Source organism: Homo sapiens, chromosome 2 (genome assembly GCF_000001405.40).
Source record: "Homo sapiens chromosome 2, GRCh38.p14 Primary Assembly".
Taxonomy (NCBI): Eukaryota; Metazoa; Chordata; class Mammalia; order Primates; family Hominidae; genus Homo; species Homo sapiens.
In genome coordinates this window covers 70237101-70255844 of record NC_000002.12, presented here as the reverse complement: position 1 = coordinate 70255844, position 18744 = coordinate 70237101, and the positions used below count along the sequence as shown (strand labels likewise).

The window sequence follows — 18744 nt, the reverse complement described above, 5'->3', positions numbered from 1 at the left end:
ATAAAATGAGGTGTTGCACAATTCTACAATCGCAACTAAAAGCCAATTATGCTCTTTAAACTAAATTAGTTGTAATTTTGTCTTTTGACAAACCTTTATCAGCCAGGAATCTACATGACAAACTTCATTAATGAGCCTTTTTCTATCGCGTATTTGCCTTCCCATAATTTGCCACCCCTAGAGACTCAAAATCATTTTCCTTCTCTTAACACTTCTCTTTTTTTTTCTTTCTTTCTTTTTTTTTTTTTTTTTGAGACGAAGTTTCGCTCTTGTTGCCCAGGCTGGAGTGCAATGGCGCAGTCTCACGGCAACGTCCGCCTCTCGGGTTCAAGCAATTCTCCTGCCTCAGCCTCCTGAGTAGCTGGGATTATAGGGAAGCGCCACCACACCCAGCTAATTTTGTATTTTTAGTAGAGATGGGGTTTCTCCGTGTTGGTTAGGCTGGTCTCGAACTCCCGACCTCAGGTGATCCGCCCACCTCGGCCTCCCAAAGTGCTGGAATTACAGGCGTGAGTCACTGTGCCCGGTTCTCTTAACACTTCTCTAAACATATACTGTTCTTTTTTGAAGATGCTGTATAATCCTGAATTCAAAGCTACCTCTTGGAGATTTGCTCATTTCCCTGGTCTCTCTTTTGAATACGTGACGTACATGTTTTTAAATTTCTGTTTTTCTTTTTTTCTTTCTTTCTTTTATTTATTTTGAGATGGCTTCGCTCTGTCACCCAGGCTGAAGTGCAATGGCACTATCACGGCTCACTGCAACCTCTCGCTCCTGGGCTCAAGCGATCCACCCACCTCAGCCACCAGAGTAGAGTACCTGGGACCACAGGCATCCACTACCATGCCCAGCTAATTTTTACATTTTTTGTAGAGATGGTTTTTTGCCATATTGCCCAGGCTGGTCTGGAACTCCTGGGCTCCCAAAGTGTTGGGATTACAGGCATGAGCCACCATGCCTGGTCCTGTTTGTTTTCTTCTTGTTAATCTGTCTTTTGTTACAGGGGTCTATCACAACCAAAACCTCGGAAGGGTAGAGGAAAACTCTTTTTTTCTCCCCAACATACCATACAATAGAACATTATGCATGCATTAAAAGGAAGCCAGGCACGGTGGCTCACGCCTGTAATCCCAGCACTCTGGGAGACCAAGGCAGGCAGAATATCTGAGGTCAGGAGTTCAAGACCAGCCTGGCCAACGTGGCAAAACTCTGCCTCTACTAAGAATACAAAAATTAGCTGGGCGTGGTGATGCATGCCTGTAATCCCACCTACTTGGGAGGTTGAGGCAGGAGAATCACTTGAACTTGGGAGGCCAAGGTTGCAGTGAGCTGAGATTGCACCACTGCACTCCAACCTGACAGGCTGATCTCAAAAAAAAAAAAAATTACAAAAAAAGAATGTTGGAGCTTGGCGCAGTGGCTCACACCTGTAATCCCAGCACTTTGGGAGGCTGAAGCAGGCAGATCACCTGAGGTCAGGAATTTGAGACCAGGCTGGTCAACATGGTGAAACCCTGTCTCTACTACTAAAAATATAAAAATCAGCCAGGCGTGGTAGCGCACACCTGTAATCCCAGCTACTCAGGAACGCTGAGACAGGACAATTGCTTGAACCCAGGAGGCAGAGGCTGCAGTGAGCCAAGATTACGCCACTGCACTCCAACCTGGGCGACAGAGTGAGACTCCGTCTCAAAAAAAAAAAAAATGGGTCTATAACTAATGTCCTAGTATTATCAGTTGAGAAAAGCTTGTGGTTGCATGATGGGTATAAAATGATCTCATGCCTCTTTTCCTTTCTCTGCCATCGTGGTGTGTTCTTGACTCCACCCTCACCATGTCTTCTCACAAGACTTTCAGGATTAAGTGATTCCTGCCCAAGAAACAAAAGCAAAATCGTCCCATTCCCCAGTGGATTCGGATGAAAACTGGAAATAAAATCAGGTACAACTCCAAAAGGAGACATTGGAGAAGAACCAAGCTGGGTCTATAAGGAATTGTACATGAGATGGCACACATATTTATGCTGTCTGAAGGTCACGATCACGTTACCATATCAAGCTGAAAATGTCACCCCTATCTGGAGAGTTCGACGTGTTTTCCTCTCCGAATCTGTTATGAACGCATTGGTTGGCTGGGTTCAGTAATAAATATGTGAGGCCTTTCATTTAAAAAAAAAAAGTCTCATTTCTGTAATTACAATACTTCACCCAAACAAACAAACAAAAATAACTAGTACATGAACATGAAGAACAATATAGATGAGAAGAAAATAGGTTGGATACAAAATAAAGTTAAACTTGGAGAAAGAGGCTGGGCTCAGTGGCTCACACCTGTAATCCCAGCACTTTGGGAGGCTAGGGCAGGCGGACGATTTGAGCCCAGGGTTCGAGACCAGCCTGAGCAAAATGGCGAAACCCCGTTTCTACGAAAAAATACAAAAAAATTAGCCTGGCATGGTGGTGTGCACCTGTAGTCCCAGCTACTCAGGAGGCTGAGGCAGGAGGATCACCTGAGCCTGGGAGGTAGAGGCTGAGGTGAGCAGTGATTGTGGTACTGCATTCCAGTCTGGGCACAGAGTGAGACTCTGCCCCCCAACCTCCAAAAAAAAAAAAAAAAAAAAAAAAGGTACATGTACCAGGATACAACTGCAACATTATTTGTAATACAATAGGTTTTTGAAAAGTAGTAACCTGAATATCCATCAATGCCAGTTATGGTAATTTATTCAATTTACCATTCAATACATTGGGGAACTTTCATTTTATGGACGATTTTGCAACTATTAAAAAACTATTAGGCCAGGACTGGGCGCAGTGGCTCACACCTGTAATTCCAGCATTTTGGGAGGCCGAGGCTGGTGCATCACTTGAGCCCAGCAATTTGAGACCAATCTGGGCAACAAAGTGAGACCTCCGTCTCTACAAAGAATACAAAAATTAGCTGGGCGTGGGCCGGGCATGGTGGCTCATGCCTGTAATCCCAGCACTTTGGGAGGCCGAGGCAGGCGGATGACCTGAGGTCAGGAATTCGAGACCAGCCTGGCCAATATGGTGAAACCCCATCTCTACTAAAAATACAAAAATTGGCCGGGTGTGGTGGCAGGCGCTTGTAATCCCAGCAACTCAGGAGGCTGAGGCAGGAGAATTGCTTGAACCCGGGAGGTGGAGGTTGCAGTGAGCTGAGATCGAGCCATTGCACTCCAGCCTGGGCAACAAGAGTGAAACTCTATCTCAAAAAAAAAAAAAAATTAGCCAGGCATGGTGGCACGTGCCTGTAGTCCCAGCTACTCAGGAGGCTAAGGTAGCAGGAACACCTGAGCCTGGAGGCAGAGGCTGCAGTGAGCTGACATCATTGCCACTGCACTCCAGCCTGGGCAACAGAGCGAGACCCTGTCTCAAAAAAAAAAAAAAAAAAAAAAGCCCGGCGCAGTGGCTCACACCTGTAATCCCAGCATTTTGGGAGGCCAAGGTGGGCGGATCACTTGAGGTTAGGAGTTTGAGACCAGACAGTCCAACATGGTGACACCCCATCTCTACTAAAAAATGCAAAAATTAGCGGGGCATGCTGGCCCACGCCTGTAATCTCAGCTACTAGGCGGGCTGAGGCAGGAAAATCGCTTGAACCTGGGAGGCAGAGGTTGCAGTGAGCTGAGATCAGGCGGGTGGATCATTTGAAGTCAGGAGTTTGAGACCAGCCTGGCCATCATGGTGAAATCCTGTCTCTACTAAAAATAAAAAAAAATTAGGCCGGGCATGGTGGCTCACGCCTGTAATCCCAGCACTTTGGGAGGCCGAGGCAGGCAGATCATCTGAGGTCAGGAATTCAAGACCAGCCTGACCAACACGGAGAAACCCCATCTCTACTAAAAATATAAAATTAGCCGGGCATGGTGGCACATGCCTGTAATCCCACCTACTCGGGAGGCTGAGGCAGGAGAATCGCTTGAACCCGGGAGGTGGAGGTGGCAGTGAGCCGAGATCATGCCATTGCACTCCAGCCTGGGCAACAAGAGCGAAACTCTGTCTCAAAAAAAAAAACTAGCCAGGTGTGGTGGCTCACACCTGTAATCCCAACTACTCTGGAGGCTGAGGCACAAGAAACGCTTGAGCCCAGGAGACAGAGTTCACAGTGAGCCAAGACACTGTCACTCTGGGTGACACTCTGTAAAAAAAAAACAAAAAACAAAAAAAAAAACCCTAAAAATCCCAAGTGTATACATGTGCATCTGTATAGAGTAAAATGTGGAATATTACAGATGAATCTATTAATATTACTTACCTCAAAAGGAGGAAGAAGATACATTTTTAATATTTTCCTTATGTATCCATTTCATTTCATTTGTAACACTAAGCACGTTGTACTTTTGTAACTTAAAAACTACTTTAAAAAAAGTACTTGTGCAATATCCATATAATGGAGTTTTATTTGGGAATAAAAAGGAATGAAGTACCGATACACGTTACAACATAGATGACCCTGAAAAGCATAATGTTAAGTGAAATAAGTCAGTTACAAGAAACCATATATTACATGCTTCCATTTATATGAAATGTCTAGAATAGGCAAATCTATAGGGGCAGAAAGACTAGTGGCTGGGACATGGAATGGGATGAGGGACAGGGAGTGTCTGCTAATTGCTACGGGTTTCCTTTTTGAGGTGAAGAAAATGTTATAAAATTGATTGTGGTGATTGTTGCACACACACCTCTGTGAATAAACTAAAAACCATTAAACTGAAAAACACTTTATATGGATGTCCCAAAAAGGTGTTTTTAAAACACCATCCCCATTAACATTTGTTTTATTCACCATCAAAAGACTAGTACTTGATATCTTTGAAAATAATCTGAAGAATGTGTCAGAGACTCTAAAGACAATTCCAAAAATGAAAAATCCAGAATGTATACAGTCTGAAGAAACTACTTTAAAGAGGACATCACGTTTTTGTTTTTTTGGTGTTTTGTTTTGTTTTTGAGGAGTCTTGCTCTGTGGCCCAGGGGCTCACTGCAACCTCCGACTCCCGGGTTCAAGTGATTCTCCTCCTACCTCAGCCTCCCGAGTAGCCGGGATTACAGACATGTGCCGCCACATCTGGCTAATTTTTGTATTTTAAAGTAGAGACGGGGTTTCTCCATGTTGGCCACGCTGGTCTTGAACTCCTGAGCTCTAGTGATCTGCCTGCCTCGGTCTCCCAAAGACTGGGATTACAGGCGTGAGCCGCCCCGCTCAGCCGACATCACGTTTTTCGATGTGTAAATTCTCCTATGTTTAAAAAATATTTCTACAACTTAAATAAACTTACATCATAGATATTTTCCAGTTCAACACTACAGATCTGATTAATAGCTTTTCAATAACTGCAAAATAGTCCATAAAATGAATGTTCCATCTGGGGGCAGCGGCTCACGTCTGTTATCTCAGCACTTTGGGAGGCTAAGGCAGGCAGATCACCTGAGGTCAGGAGTTCAAGACCAGCCTGGCCAACATGGCAAAACCCTGTCTCTACTAAAATACAAAAATTAGTTAGGCTAATTTAGGTGGTGGCGCACGTCTGTAATCCCAGCTACTAGGGAGGCTGAGGCAGGAGAATCGCTTGAACCTGGGAGGCAGAGGTTGCAGTGAGCCAAGATTGTGTCACTGCACTCCAGCCTGGGAGATAGAGCGAGACTGTCTCAAAAAAAAAAAAGAAAGAAAGAAAAAGAAAAAGTTCCACATGTATTTGGTGTAAATTGAATAAATTACCATAAGTGGCATTGATGGATATTCAGGTTACTCCATTTTTTTCTACTGTAAACAATGCTGCAGTTGTATCTTGGCACATAAATCTTTATAAATTAATTGTTTTATTTCTGTAGGATAGATTCCTAGACATAGGATTACTTTAGTGACATATATATATAATAAGCAATGTGAAATGCATACAGAGTATACTGAATCACATTTCAGAGCTCTAATTTCTCTGCCTCCTAAAGTTGGACTGAAGTTTATGTATCTTTTGACTTGTTTACTTTTAAGATTCTTGTGACCAATTTGCATTAAATAGCTGGGGTTTTTTGTTTGTTTCTTTGTTTGTTTTTTGAGACGGATCCTCGTTCTGTTGCCCAGGCTGGAGTGCAATGGCAAGATCTCGGCTCACTGCAATCTCCACCTCCCAGATTCAAGGATTCTCCTGCCTCAGCCTCCTGAGTAGTTGGGATTACGGGCCCCCACCACCACATCCAGCTAATTTTTGTATTTTTAGTAGAGACAGGGTTTCGCCATGTTGGTCAGGCTGGTCTCGAACTCCTGATCTCAGGTGATCCGCCCGCCTCAGCCATCCAAAGTGCTGGAATAACAGGCGTGAGCCACTGCCCCCGGCCTAAACAGCTATTTCTTAAATGCTTTTCAATGTGCAATCAATACACGGAAGAAATGCAAATATAAATAAAAATCTGGCATCTGGAAATATCCTCCCCGCGCTGAAAAATCTGGCTAGCACCAACGACGCAAATTCTTAATAAAATCCTTACTTTTTTAAGTAAAACTTTTTTTCTTTTTTCTTATTTCTTAAGTAAACATTTTAAATTGAAATTTTTTTTCTGTACAGAGAAAGTTGAAACATCCATTCCTATGTTTGGGATGAGAAAAGATAAATTATTTATGTTATTGGAAAACAGAAGATTACAGACTGTCAATAAACTTTTACTTTTAAATGAATAAATAATACATGACAATTCTTTTCACATGAGAGAACGTCTGCTTCTATTTCCTCCTAAAATACTGTGGCGGCTGGGCATGTCAACAGCGCCGCTGGTGTAGTGGTATCATGCAAGATTCCCATTCTTGCGACCCGGGTTCGATTCCCGGGCGGCGCATAGGCGTTTTGCTTCTCGCTCGCTAAAAACCAGATAGCTTGAAGAGTCTTTATATATCTTTCCAAAAGAGGAAAGATTTAGGCTTTTTACTGTCCCTGAAGGTTTCCACTCCCTCATAATTCGCGGTCGAAACACTCGAATCCGCAGCCAGAAGACAAAAAAGTTCACGCAAATCGTGAAGTAGTTAATACTTGCGCCTGCGCAGTCTGAGGCGTCCCTCGCGTCGGGTGGAAGAGCGGCTGCGCAACAAGTGAACCTATGGATTAAGGTGTAGCCGGGCGGCCCGGAGGTTGAGAGTGCAAGATTATTCTGCGCCTGCGCGGCCCGGGTAACTTTGCTGGCTGCTCCTAGGCTCCCGGCTCGCCGCCATCTTGTATTGGGGTTTCATTGTTCCCGCTGGGCCGGGCGGTTTAGTGTAATTGCCGCCGGAGGAGGAGGCGGAGTAACCTCTGGTCAGCCGAGAAACCCCACTATCCTGTAGCCATAACCGCTTAAACGATTTGGGAGGTAGTGAAGGGCAGGGAGCTGGACCTGGAGGCGCCGCCGCGACAGCAGCAGCCATGGAGGACGAGATGCCCAAGACTCTGTGAGTCTGGGGCAGCGATGAGGGAGGCGGGATGGTGGTCGTCCCGGAGGGAAGGCCTCGGCCCTGCGCCGCTCCCAGCCTATTGTTCTCCGTGGACACCGCGATATCGTGGTTTTTGTTTCCTTAGCATGCACCTGGATGCTTACAACCAAGACCCAATCTGTGAGGACGAGGTGAAGGGAGACGGGGCTCAACCCTCTCAATTAATCCCTTCACTTTAGCAACACCATTGCATGACCTTTGCTCTCGCCACGGGCCCTCTGTGGTCTTAGACCTGGAGAAAAGACTTTAATTCAGACCTCTTTTTAGAACTCGTCGAACCTTCCTTTTGTCCTATGCTTTCTTTCCTTTTCCCGCTTCTCCCCCTTTTTGATTAACCTCTTCTTATCTTTACAGCCGTCTCCCTTTAATTTTACTTTTGATTTCCTACTGAAATTCTTCCTTTCATTTTCTTCTCGGTGATAAGATTTTTTTTCCTCCTCGAGGGTGCTTGTACTCATTTTCAGTGCAGTAAACTTTATTCTTGCAGTTGCCAATTGGAAAAAAGCCAAGCATTTTTCTTTAACCTCTGGCTTTCCTTCTGTAGCACCCACCGACCAAAAAGCCTAACCAGACACCCCAAGGATTTGGAAATCTCACCCAGAAGGAATATATCAATTGAGGGGAAATGGATTTAATATTATTTTTATAGTCGTTTACTACTGTTGTGATTGACATGGTGTTGAACGAGCGGGCTGTAAATGCCCTAACATATTTACAGAGAATTTTTAGAGATAGCGTTAAATTACCGGAGCGTGGATATTTTCTTTGTCGTGTGGCTTCCCCAACTGCGTTCTTTGTTTTTCGAGGTATTATCGGATGAGTTGATCCTGCCTTTGTTGGCATTTCTCGGAAGAAGAAAAGCTCAATGAGTTCTTGACATAGCTTTTTGTTTTTCTTGGATGACATAGCTTTTTGTTTATATTCTTGGAATACTGGCAGTTTGAGAGCTCCATGCATTAAAAATGCAATTTTAGGTTTCTCTTTGCAGCTCTCTAATAAAGTTGCTCTGAAGTACGATGTAATTGTTTTTTTACCTCCAAAATTTTTCCACTTTTAAGTTGCTATTTCTTGTCTATATTGGAAATGTGGTTACACTTGTTTTCTTAATAGATTGTCAGTTAATCTGTTAGTAACCTTGAAATTTCTTTTCTCTATTCCTGAGGCTCAGAAAGTATCTTTTCAGTAGGACGTAGCAATTAGTGCATGACCTTTGTTTTAGGAAAGATTGTATCTGTAGATGAATACTCCCTAAAAAACTACTAGCCTCACGGTGTTGGTGGAATCTCTTCCCTCTTGCCTCTTAGCTATGACAGTCATCAGCATTTTGGGTTAAGGCACTGCTCGTGTTTTATAATGTAAACTTAATATTCTCAGTATTAGTTTGAAAATGTTTAATTTTAGAAACTGCAGAAGTATCTGACCACTTAACTTTTTAACTTTTTAATTTTGTTTTTACTTTTTAATTTTTTGAGATGGAGTCTCACTTTGTCACCCAGGCTGCAAGGCTAGAGTGCAGTGATGCGATTTCGGCTCACTGCAACCTCCACCTCCTGGGTTTAAATGATTCTCCTGCCTCACCCTCCCAAGTAGCTGGCACTACATGCGGGCACCACCATGCCCGGCTAATTTTTGTATTTTTAGTAGAGATGGGGTTTCACCATGTCGGCCAAGCTGGTCTCGAACTCCTGACCTCAGGTGATCCGCACACCTCGGCCTCCCAGAGTGCTGGGATTACAGGTGTGAGCCACTGCGCCTGGCCTGTCCTCAACTTTTAACTATTACATTTATTACTTATTTTGCCTTGTATCCCTCACTAATACACCCCATCCAAGAAACTCTTCCTCAAAGTAGTCATACTGTAAAAGTCTTCTCTTGTTTCTACCTCCCTCAACCCAAACTCCCATTTTTCTAGTCAGGCAAACCTTGACCAAACATGAGGGTACTAATCCCTAAGTTTTCCTAATAGTGTTTTTAATTTTAATGTAAGATTTTTGCTTTAATGACCCTGGAAGTCAGAGGCTTTTAATATATGTTCTTAGCAGAGTTCTTAGCACATTAAAAACACAGCCTCTCAATATATGTTCTTAGTGTGGTCCATGGTAAGTAATCAATACATTTGTTTAAGAAACTGGTATAATTGGCTGGGCACAGTGGCTCACGCCTATAATCCTAACACTTTGGGGGGCTGAGGAGGGTGGATCACTTGAGGGCAGGAGTTCAAGACCAGCCTGGCCAACATGGCGAAACCCTGTCTCTACTACAAATACAAAAATTAACTGAGCATGGTGGCGCATGCCTGTAATCCCAGCTACTCGGGAGGCTGAGGAAGGAGAATCGCTTGAACCCGGGAGGTGGAGGTTGCAGTGAGCCGAGGTTGCGCCATTGCACTCCAGCCTGTGCAACAGGAGGGAGGCTCCATCTCAAAAAAAAAAAAAAAAAAAAAAAAAATCTGGTAGAATTTCAAGCAGTGAATTAAGATTTTACTCTTTCTTGAGGATAAAATAGAGTCTGAATTTTTATCACCCACATACCTAAATGGCTCACTGGAAATTCCTTCATTTGCTACATCTGAGTGTTCGGCATCTCCATGTTAAGTTAGAGAATACCAGTATTTGATTTCTTGTCACCAATACTTTGGAATCATATTCTGAGACAAACTTCCCGAAAGTTTATACTGCAAGATTATTTTGAGGAGTATTCAAGGTACAGTTAATAAGTTCAAACATTTGTAGTGAGCATATGGGTGATGTATACTACTCTTCTCCATATATAAATTTGAAATTTTCCACAGTAAAAAAATAAAAATACGTGTATAGTGAGTCTGAATTGGCCTTGGTTACTTTAAAAATATTCAACTTGTGAACTAAAAGCTACACACTAGACTAGAAAAACATTGCTGGTGTTAGTTGATGAAAGTTAATTCCCTCAAATCCAGACACCTTAATATCCTTTGTGTGGTTTACTCTCAAATGCATGAGTGTTCTCTTTTGAGATAACTATACTGTTATTGTGCGGCTTTCCCATTTGCTAAGATGCAGATCTGTAAATTATAGACCATCTTTAAAAGCCTGCAGCTGGCCAGGCATGGTGGCTCACACCTGTAATCCCAGCACTTTGGGAAGCCGAGGTGAGTGGATCACCTGAGGTCAGAAGTTTGAGACCAACCTGGGCAACATGGTGAAACCCCATCTCTACTAAAAATACAAAAATTAGCTAGGTGTGGTGACACATGCCAGTAGCCTCAGCTACTCGGGACTCCGGAGGCTCAGGAAGGAGAATCGCCCGGGAGGTGGAGGTTGCAGTGAGCCGAGATCACGCCACTGCACTCCAGCCTGGATGACAGAGCAAGACGGAGCCCAATTAATTGCTATATACTAATGAGGGCCTTGCCTTTCTTCTGCTCCATGCTCATCTTTCATTCTTGTTGTCTACTCCACTCTCCAAATAGTATTGGCCTTGTAATTTGTATGAAATAAAATCTCTTGTATTGAGAATCAGACCTATCTTTTTTTTTTTTTTTTTTTTTTTGAGACAGAGTCTCGCTCTGTCACCCAGGCTGGAATGCAGTGGCCCAATCTTGGCTCACTGCAAGCTCTGCCTTCCAGGTTCACGCCATTCTCCTGCCTCAGCCTCCGGAGTAGCTGGGACTGCAGGCACCCGCCACCACGCCTGGCTAATTTTTTGTATTTGTAGTAGAGACACAGTTTCACCGTGTTAGCCAGGATGGTCTCGATCTCCTGACCTCGCGATCCGCCTGCCTCAGCCTCCCAAAGTGCTGGGATTACAGGCGACAATCAGACCTATTTTAAAGATTAGATTGAAGGCAAGGTTGGCCAAAATGAGATATTTATTAGATAATACTTATGTTTCCAAATAACTGCTAGTAATTAAGAATATGCTAGAAACATTACATTCACTCAGTAATATTGAGAGCATACTACATGGCTGTCCGTCTTCTGGGAACTGGGGATATGGTAGTACATATAATAGGCCTTTTACGAATTTACATAAGTAATTATGTTAGATGGTAATAAGTGCTATGGAGAAACATAATGCAGGGTATGCATGGTAAGGAGGAAGGGGTGGATATTTATAGAGAATAATAAAGGAAGGTCATCCTTTGATAAGTGACATTTGAGGAAAAAAGTGAAGGAGATGAGGGAGAGCCATGCTTCTATCTGAAGGAGGAGCACCCTAGAAAGAGCTAGTGCAAGGGGCCCTTGGGGGCAGGTCATGCTGGTTGGTTAGCCTGAAGAGAGTAAATGTAGTAGAGGAGTAGGAAATGAGGTCAGAATGATAAATAGGAATGTTAGGGGAGATAGAAAATGCCAGATCATACGGATCCTTATGAGGGCTATCTTATCTGAGTAGGAATGGAAGCTGTAAGTGGGTTTCACGCAGAGTAGTGGTATAGCCTATCTTAACCTTAAAACTGGCAAAAGCAAGTAGCCTAGTCAGGAAGCCAATCCAGGTATCAGAGAAAGCAGTGCCTGTAATTGTAGTTAGTGCTGGTGAAAGTGATGGGAAGTAGTTGAATTATGGATATGTTTTGAAAATAGAGCAACAGGAATTACCAGTGGCTTAGATGTGGCATGTGAGAATGATGTCAACAATAAATGGATTTATTTTAAAATGTGTAATATCAGTTATCTAAAATGTTATAGTTTGTTGCAAAATATAAGTAAAAATGAAAAGTCTTGAGGATCGATATCCCTTAAGATGTCTACAGGCATAGTATTGAATACATTTGTTCAAGCTGGTTTACCTAGTGAAGGAGGTCCCAACTAGTAAGGCAGTTTCAGCCATCTCTTGTAACAGATTATTCTTTGTGATGGGTATACATTTGTTAAATAATAATAAGGTTAGGATGCTGATGTATAGTATATACACAAGCACTTACTATTCTACACAATTTATTTATTTATTTATTTTAATTGAGATAGGGTCTCATCCTGTTGTCCAGGCTCTGGCGCAGTGGTGTGATCACAGCTCACTGTAGCCTCGACCTCTCAGGCTCAAGGGATCTTCCCACCTCAGCCTCCTGAATAGCTGGGACTATAGGCATGTGCCACCATGTCTGGCTAATTTTTAAAAATATTTGTAGAGAAGCGATCTCACTGTGTTGCCCAGGCTGGTCTCCAACTCCTGGGCTCAAGCGATCTTCCCACCTTAGCCTCCCAAAGTGGGATTATAGGTGTGAGCCACCGTGCCTGGTGTTTACACAGTTTCTTCATTAGCAAAAGACATAACTAATCTTTTCCCTCTAGGGTAACTTAAGCAAAATGAGAGAATTTTCTAGCAAATTGCAAATGTTCAGAAGTCATTCTGAGACAGTACATTTAACTCTTTAACAGATATTTATAGAGCAATAAATATCACTGCAATGATATTGCAATGTTCCAGGCAGTGTTCTAGACTAGCAGTCCCCAGCCTTTTTGGCACCGAGACCAGTTTTGTGGAAGACAATTTTTCCATGGGCGGGATGGTTTCAGGATGAAACTGTTCCACCTCAGAGCATCAGGCATTAGATAAATTCTCATAAGGAACACACAACCTAGATCCCTTGCATGCCCAGTTCACAAATGCTGCTGATCTTACAGGAGGCAGAGCTCAAGCAGTAATGCTCCCTCCCCTGCTGCTCACCTCCTGCTGTGTGGCCCAGTTCCTAACAGGCCATGGACGCATAATGGTCCATGGCCTAGGGGGGAGTTGGGGACCCCTGTTCTAGATGGTAGATACCAACTAAGAATAAAAATGAAAACCTCTTATGGAATTTATTATTAGGTAAAAAACTATTCATCGTTTTTACTCAAATTTTCAGAGACCTTATCAAATTCTGCCTTTTTTTTTTTTTTTTTTTTTTTTTTTGAGACTGAGTCTCTGTCACTCAGGCTGGACTGCCGTGGTGAGATCTCGGCTCACTGCAACCTCCACTTCCCGGGTTCAGGTGATTCTCTCGCCCACCATCACACTTGGCTAATTTTTTGTGTTTTTAGTAGAGGCAAGTTTCAACATATTGGCCAGGCTGATCTCGAACTCCTGAGCTCAAGTGATCCCCCACCTCAGCCTCCCAAAGTGCTGGGATTACAGGCGTGAGCCACCGCTCCCAGCTAATCCTGAAAATTTCTTATAGGCACAAGAGTCAGGTGAGAGTAGACACACAAGAGATGCAGAGATAGTACAGAGTTTTGTTTTTTGCGGGGGAGGGTTTTGCGGAAGAATGGCATGATAACCTTCATCTAGCATCCCTTAATGTTACCATCTTATATAACCGTGGTATAATTATCAAAATTAAGAAATTAACACTATAGGCTTTATTCCAATTTTTCCACTGATATCCTTTTTATATTCTAGGATCCAATTCAGGAAAATACCACATTGCATTTCGTCATCGTCTCTTTATTCTCCTTCATTCTGTGAGAGGTCTTTCTGACCTTAACACTTTTTTTTTTTTTTAGAGGTAAGGTCTCACTCTGGTGCCCAGACTGGAGTTCAGTGGCACAATCATTGTTCACTTCAGCTTCCCAAGTAGCTGGAACTACAGGTGCACACCACCACACCCAGCTAATTTTTTCTTATTTTTTGTAGAGACGGTGCATATCACTATGTTGCCCTAGCTGGTCTCAAACTACTGGCCTCAAGTGAATCTCTCACCTCGGCCTCCCAAAGCACTGGGTTTACAGGTGTGAGCCACCACACCCTACCGACACTTTGGAAGGGTACTGTTTCTCCTGTTCTCCAAAATCACCGTGACTTCTTTTTTCTTAACTTACTCTGTTGGTTAGAAGTAAGTCACCGAGGCTAGCTCACACTCAGGAAGAGGAAGATTAAGTTACACTTCCTGGAGGGAGGTATATCCAAAGAATTCATAGTCATGTAAAACCACTAGTTCATTGGTCAAAACTTTTTTTTTTCTTTTTTTAAGACAGAGTCTCGCTCTGTTGCCAGGCTGGAGTACAGTGGCATGATCTCGGCTCACTGCAACCTCTGCCTCCTGGGTTCAAGCGATTCTCCTGCCTCGGCCTCCCTAGTAGCTGAAACTACAGGCACACGCCACCAAGCCCAGCTAATTTTTTGTATTTTTTAGTAGAGACGGGGTTTCACTATGTTGGCCAGGATGGTCTTGATCTCCTGACCTGTGATCCGCCTCGGTCTCCCAAAGTGCTAGGATTACAGGCGTGAGCCACCGCACCTGTCCCAAAACCAATTTTTAATAAATATTTTAGTGGAGGTACTTTGAGGCTATTCAGATACCCTGTTTCCCCTTTTAAGGTTTCATCAACTAATGTGAGCTTCCATGGGTGGATCTTCCTTTAGAAATTATTACTGTGGTGTTTTAATGGTGATTTTCTATTTCTCTCATTCTTTCTACATTTATTAATTCTGTAAGAAAAAACTATTTTCCCCTCATCCGGGATCCATTTAAACATTATTGATTGTATTTGGTTGTCAGTGTTTTTTATGTCCTTTTTTTTTGGTGGGGGGGCAGGGAGGGCAGTGTCTTGCTCTGTCACCCTGGCTGGAGTACTGTGGTGTAATATGAGCTCACTGCAATGTCCACCTCCCAAGTTCAAGTGATTCTTGTGCCTCCCCTTCCCAGGTAGCTGGGATTACAGGCATGCGCCACCACACCTGGCTGATTTTTGTATTTATTGTAGTAGAGATGAGGTTTCACCATGTTGGCCAGGCTGGTCTCTAACTCCTGGTCTCAAGTGAACTGCCTACCTCGGCCTCCCAAAGTGCTAGGATTTCAGGCTTGAGCCACTGTGCCCAGCTTTCTGTTTCTTTTATTTATTTATATCTTAGAAATGAGGTCTTGCTATGTTCCCAGGCTGGACTCAAACTCCTGGGTTCAAGGGATCCACCCACCTCAGCCTCTCAAGTAGCTGGGGCTGCGGGCTTGTGCCACCACTCCCTTTTATTCAAGAACAGTCATCTGTTGTTTTTGTTTTAGGACAATAATTTTTTGAAGAGACTGAGTTGTCTTATAAAGTGTCCCACATCTGGATTCATGGAATTGTTTTATTTGCCTGATATCCTATAAACTTAAATCTAATTTTCAGCTTGGTTAGATTTAGGTTAGACTTTTTTATGTAAATATTTCATAGGTGATACTGTGTAATTCATATTATATATATGCAGTATCTCATTGGTCGTTGCCCATCTATAAAATAATTGAAAATTTTATCACTGGGTCATAGTGGTAACAGCCAAAGCTCTCATTTTTAAGGTAAGGTTTTCCCTTTGCAATTTATTAAGTAATCTATGTGATAACTTTGACACCTTGTGACTATTTCCACACCAACTGTTCATGTAGTAGTTTAAGCATTAATTAAAGATCCTTGCCTGAAACAGTTATTTCATTAGGGTTTACACATTGTTAATTTAATACTATCTTTCTACATTTATTAACTAGCATTCTCCTGTAAAGGAGAACTTTTCTAAACTAGAGCTATTAGATTACACTATTTAGTGGGAGTTCCTACTTAATAGGATAAATGCTTAATTCTGTCTCTTTTTCAGAATAAAGACTTGGTGTAGTAATAACTCCCAATACTGGTAAATTGCTGTTGGGTAAATGTTGCTGTTACTTTCTCTTTTGAGTACCATTATTTTACCTGATCGTTAAATGTCATTTGTTATTAAGACTCAGCATTTCTTCCTTTGCCATCTTAACCTTTTCCAAAGGCTTCGTGTTAAGCACTCAATATGTGTTTGTTGAATGGTAGATGGAAAGAAGAAATTGATTCCACACTTTGTGAGCATGTATGAATATTTACTTTTCTGGGGAGAAAGTCCATACCTTGTATCAAATTTTCTGAAGGGTACCTGAGAGACAAATGAGAAACTACCATTCTGGGGAGACTGCATTCCCTGATTCCAGAACTGATAAACCTCTAACTCTGTAAAATGACTAGAGGTAATCTCATCTCAAAATCTCATTTAAAAACTTATTTATAAACCCTTTATTGGCCGGGCGCAGTGGCTCACGCCTGTAATCCAAACACTTTGGGAGGCCGAGGCAAGCAGATCACGAGGTCAGGAGATCGAGACCATCCTGGCTAACATGGTGAAACCCCATCTCTACTAAAAATACAAAAAACTAGCCGGGCGTGGTGGCGGGTGCCTGTAGTCCCAGCTACTCGGGAGGCTGAGGCAGGAGAATGGCGTGAACTCAGGAGGCGGAGCTTGCAGTGAGCCGAGATCACGCCACTGCACTCCAGCCTGGGCGACAGAGCAAGACTCCGTCTCTAAATAAATGAATAAATAGTAAAACCTTTATTTTCTTTTTAGAGATAGAGTTTTGCTCTGTCACCTGGGATGGAGTGCAGTGGCATAATCATAGCTCACTGCAGCCTCTTAACTCCTGGGTTCAAGTGATCTTCCCACCTCAGCGTCCGAAGTAGCTGGGACCATGCCATGGGACATAGTGCCACCATGTCCGCTAATTTTTTATCTTTATTTTTATTTTTTGTAGAGACGGGGGTCTCGCTGTATTGACTGGGCTGATCTTGAACTCCTTGGCTAAAGTGATCTTTCCACCTTGGCCTCCAAAAGTGCTGGGATTACAGATGTGAGCCACTGCCCCTAATCTAAACCCTTTAAATGAAGATCATCACAGTCTTATGGTCTTGTAATGCACGATTTATATTTTTATATTGATAACCAACTCATAATCTGTGATGTTTCTACTCCCTTTCACCCCTCTTCTACTGATCAGTAATGTTAAATGGAAGGTTTCTCATCCCACTGTAAGCATTCAAAACAACTGATAATTTACCTATAACTTTTCAAAAATGTGTTCATTGCATAACCAAAGTCTACCTAAATTGAACAAATAAGGGAAATAATGTTAATTTAAAAATTGGGGGTACCAGCCTGGCCAATATGGTGAAACCCCGTCTCTACCAAAAATATAAAAAAATTAGCTGGGCGTGGTGGCGGGCGCCTGTAGCCCCAGCTACGTGGGTGGCTGAGGCAGGAGAATCACTTGAACCTGGGAGGTGGAGGTTGCAATGAGCCGAGATCGCACCACTGCACTCCAGCCTGGGCGACAGAGAGAGACTTTGTCCACAAAAAAAAAAAAAAAAAAAAAAAAAAACTTGGGGGAACGTCAATGTTCTTAGTAGTAGTAATACCATAGAAGTAGAAATAATTGCAATGCCTTTTAGGTTTGATGGTATACATTTTTTTTTTTAATTGAGATGGAGTCTCGCTCTGTTGCCCAAGCTGGAGTGCAGTGGCACCATCTCGGCTCACTGCAAGTTCCGTCTCCCAGGTTCACGCCGTTCTCCTGCCTCAGCCTCCCGAGTAGCCGGGACTACAGGCGCCCACCACCACGCCCAGCTAATTTTTTATATTTTTATTAGAGACGAGGTTTCATCGTGTTAGCCAGGATGGTCTTGATCTCCTGACCTCGTGATCCGCCCACCTCGGCCTCCCAAAGTGCTGGGATTACAGGCATGAGCCACCGCACCCAGCCTTTTTTTTTCTTTTTAAAGACAGTCTTGCTCCGTCACCCAGGCTGGAGTGCAGTGGCGTGATCGGGGCTCGTTGCAACCTCTGCCTCCTGGGTTCAAGCAATTCTCATGCCTCAGCCGTCCCCCAGTAGCTGGGATTACAGGCAGGCGCCACCACGCCCGGCTAATTTTTGTGTTTTTAGTAGAGAAGGGGTTTCACTGTGTTGGCCAGGCTGGTATCAAACTCCTGCCTCAAGTGATCCTCTCTCCTCAGCCTCCCAAAGTGCTGGGATTACAGGTGTGAGCCACCTCGCCCAGCCATTATTGTATAAGATATTTTATATAACTAATGATGATTCATTTGAGTGTTTTTAAAGCTTGTCTTCCTAAGGTAAGCCTGGAAACGTAGAAACAAGCAATCAGTTTGCAAAACGATGACTAAAACAGACAAGCACATACTAGCTTCCCCTTCACTAGCAAGGTGTAATATATTTTCTTTTTTGAGACATAGTCTCACTCTGTTGCCCAGGCTGGAGTGCAGTGGTGCAACCTCAGCTAACCCAGCCTCTGCCTCCTGGGTTCAAGTGATTCTCCTGCCTCAGCCTCCCAAGTAGCTGGGTTTACAGATGTGCACCACCATGCCTGGCTAATTTTTGTGTTTTTAGTAGAGACAGGGTTTCACCATGTTTACCAGGCTGGTCTCAACTCCTGGCCTCAGGTGATCTTCCCACCTTGGCTTCCCAAAGTGCTGGGATTACAGGCGTGAGCCACCACACCTAGCTAATATATTTTCAAATAACAT

The 18744-nt window shown here is 43.2% G+C and overlaps 1 protein-coding gene, 2 non-coding genes and 1 pseudogene across 42 annotated transcripts in view, besides 2 other annotated features; all 4 read left to right on the top strand.

The window, feature by feature from the left end:
- RPL39P15 (ribosomal protein L39 pseudogene 15) lies at positions 1787 to 2170 on the top strand (annotated as a pseudogene).
- MIR1285-2 (microRNA 1285-2) lies at positions 2840 to 2927 on the top strand. Its single transcript, NR_031617.1, has one exon. It is a non-coding gene; the product is annotated as a microRNA 1285-2 (primary transcript).
- On the top strand, positions 6784 to 6854 carry TRG-CCC2-1 (tRNA-Gly (anticodon CCC) 2-1). The gene has a single exon. It is a non-coding gene; the product is annotated as a tRNA-Gly (tRNA).
- Positions 6821 to 7635: an enhancer, noted in NCBI's record as "NANOG-H3K27ac-H3K4me1 hESC enhancer chr2:70475342-70476156 (GRCh37/hg19 assembly coordinates)". NCBI's record gives its function as "activates a minimal SCP1, AML or CMV promoter by ChIP-STARR-seq in primed H9 embryonic stem cells {active_cell/tissue: H9 hESC(primed)}" and the evidence as "EXISTENCE:reporter gene assay evidence [ECO:0000049][PMID:30033119]".
- Positions 7052 to 18744, top strand: part of TIA1 (TIA1 cytotoxic granule associated RNA binding protein) — a 39350-nt gene continuing 27657 nt past the window's right edge. For 34 of the 40 annotated variants that reach the window (NR_147232.2, NR_147220.2, NR_147222.2 and 31 more), the window contains exon 1: positions 7217 to 7440. Coding sequence is in view for 13 of the 40 variants with exons in the window: in NM_001351510.2 (NP_001338439.1) it covers positions 7415 to 7440 (26 nt within the window). In the remaining 27 variants the exon portion in view is untranslated. Of the gene's footprint in view, positions 7183 to 7216; positions 7441 to 18744 lie in introns of those variants that run through there. The other 6 variants (NR_147218.1, NR_147217.1, NR_147216.1 and 3 more) reach the window with 1 other exon arrangement.
- Positions 7636 to 8451: an enhancer, noted in NCBI's record as "NANOG-H3K27ac-H3K4me1 hESC enhancer chr2:70474526-70475341 (GRCh37/hg19 assembly coordinates)". NCBI's record gives its function as "activates a minimal SCP1, AML or CMV promoter by ChIP-STARR-seq in primed H9 embryonic stem cells {active_cell/tissue: H9 hESC(primed)}" and the evidence as "EXISTENCE:reporter gene assay evidence [ECO:0000049][PMID:30033119]".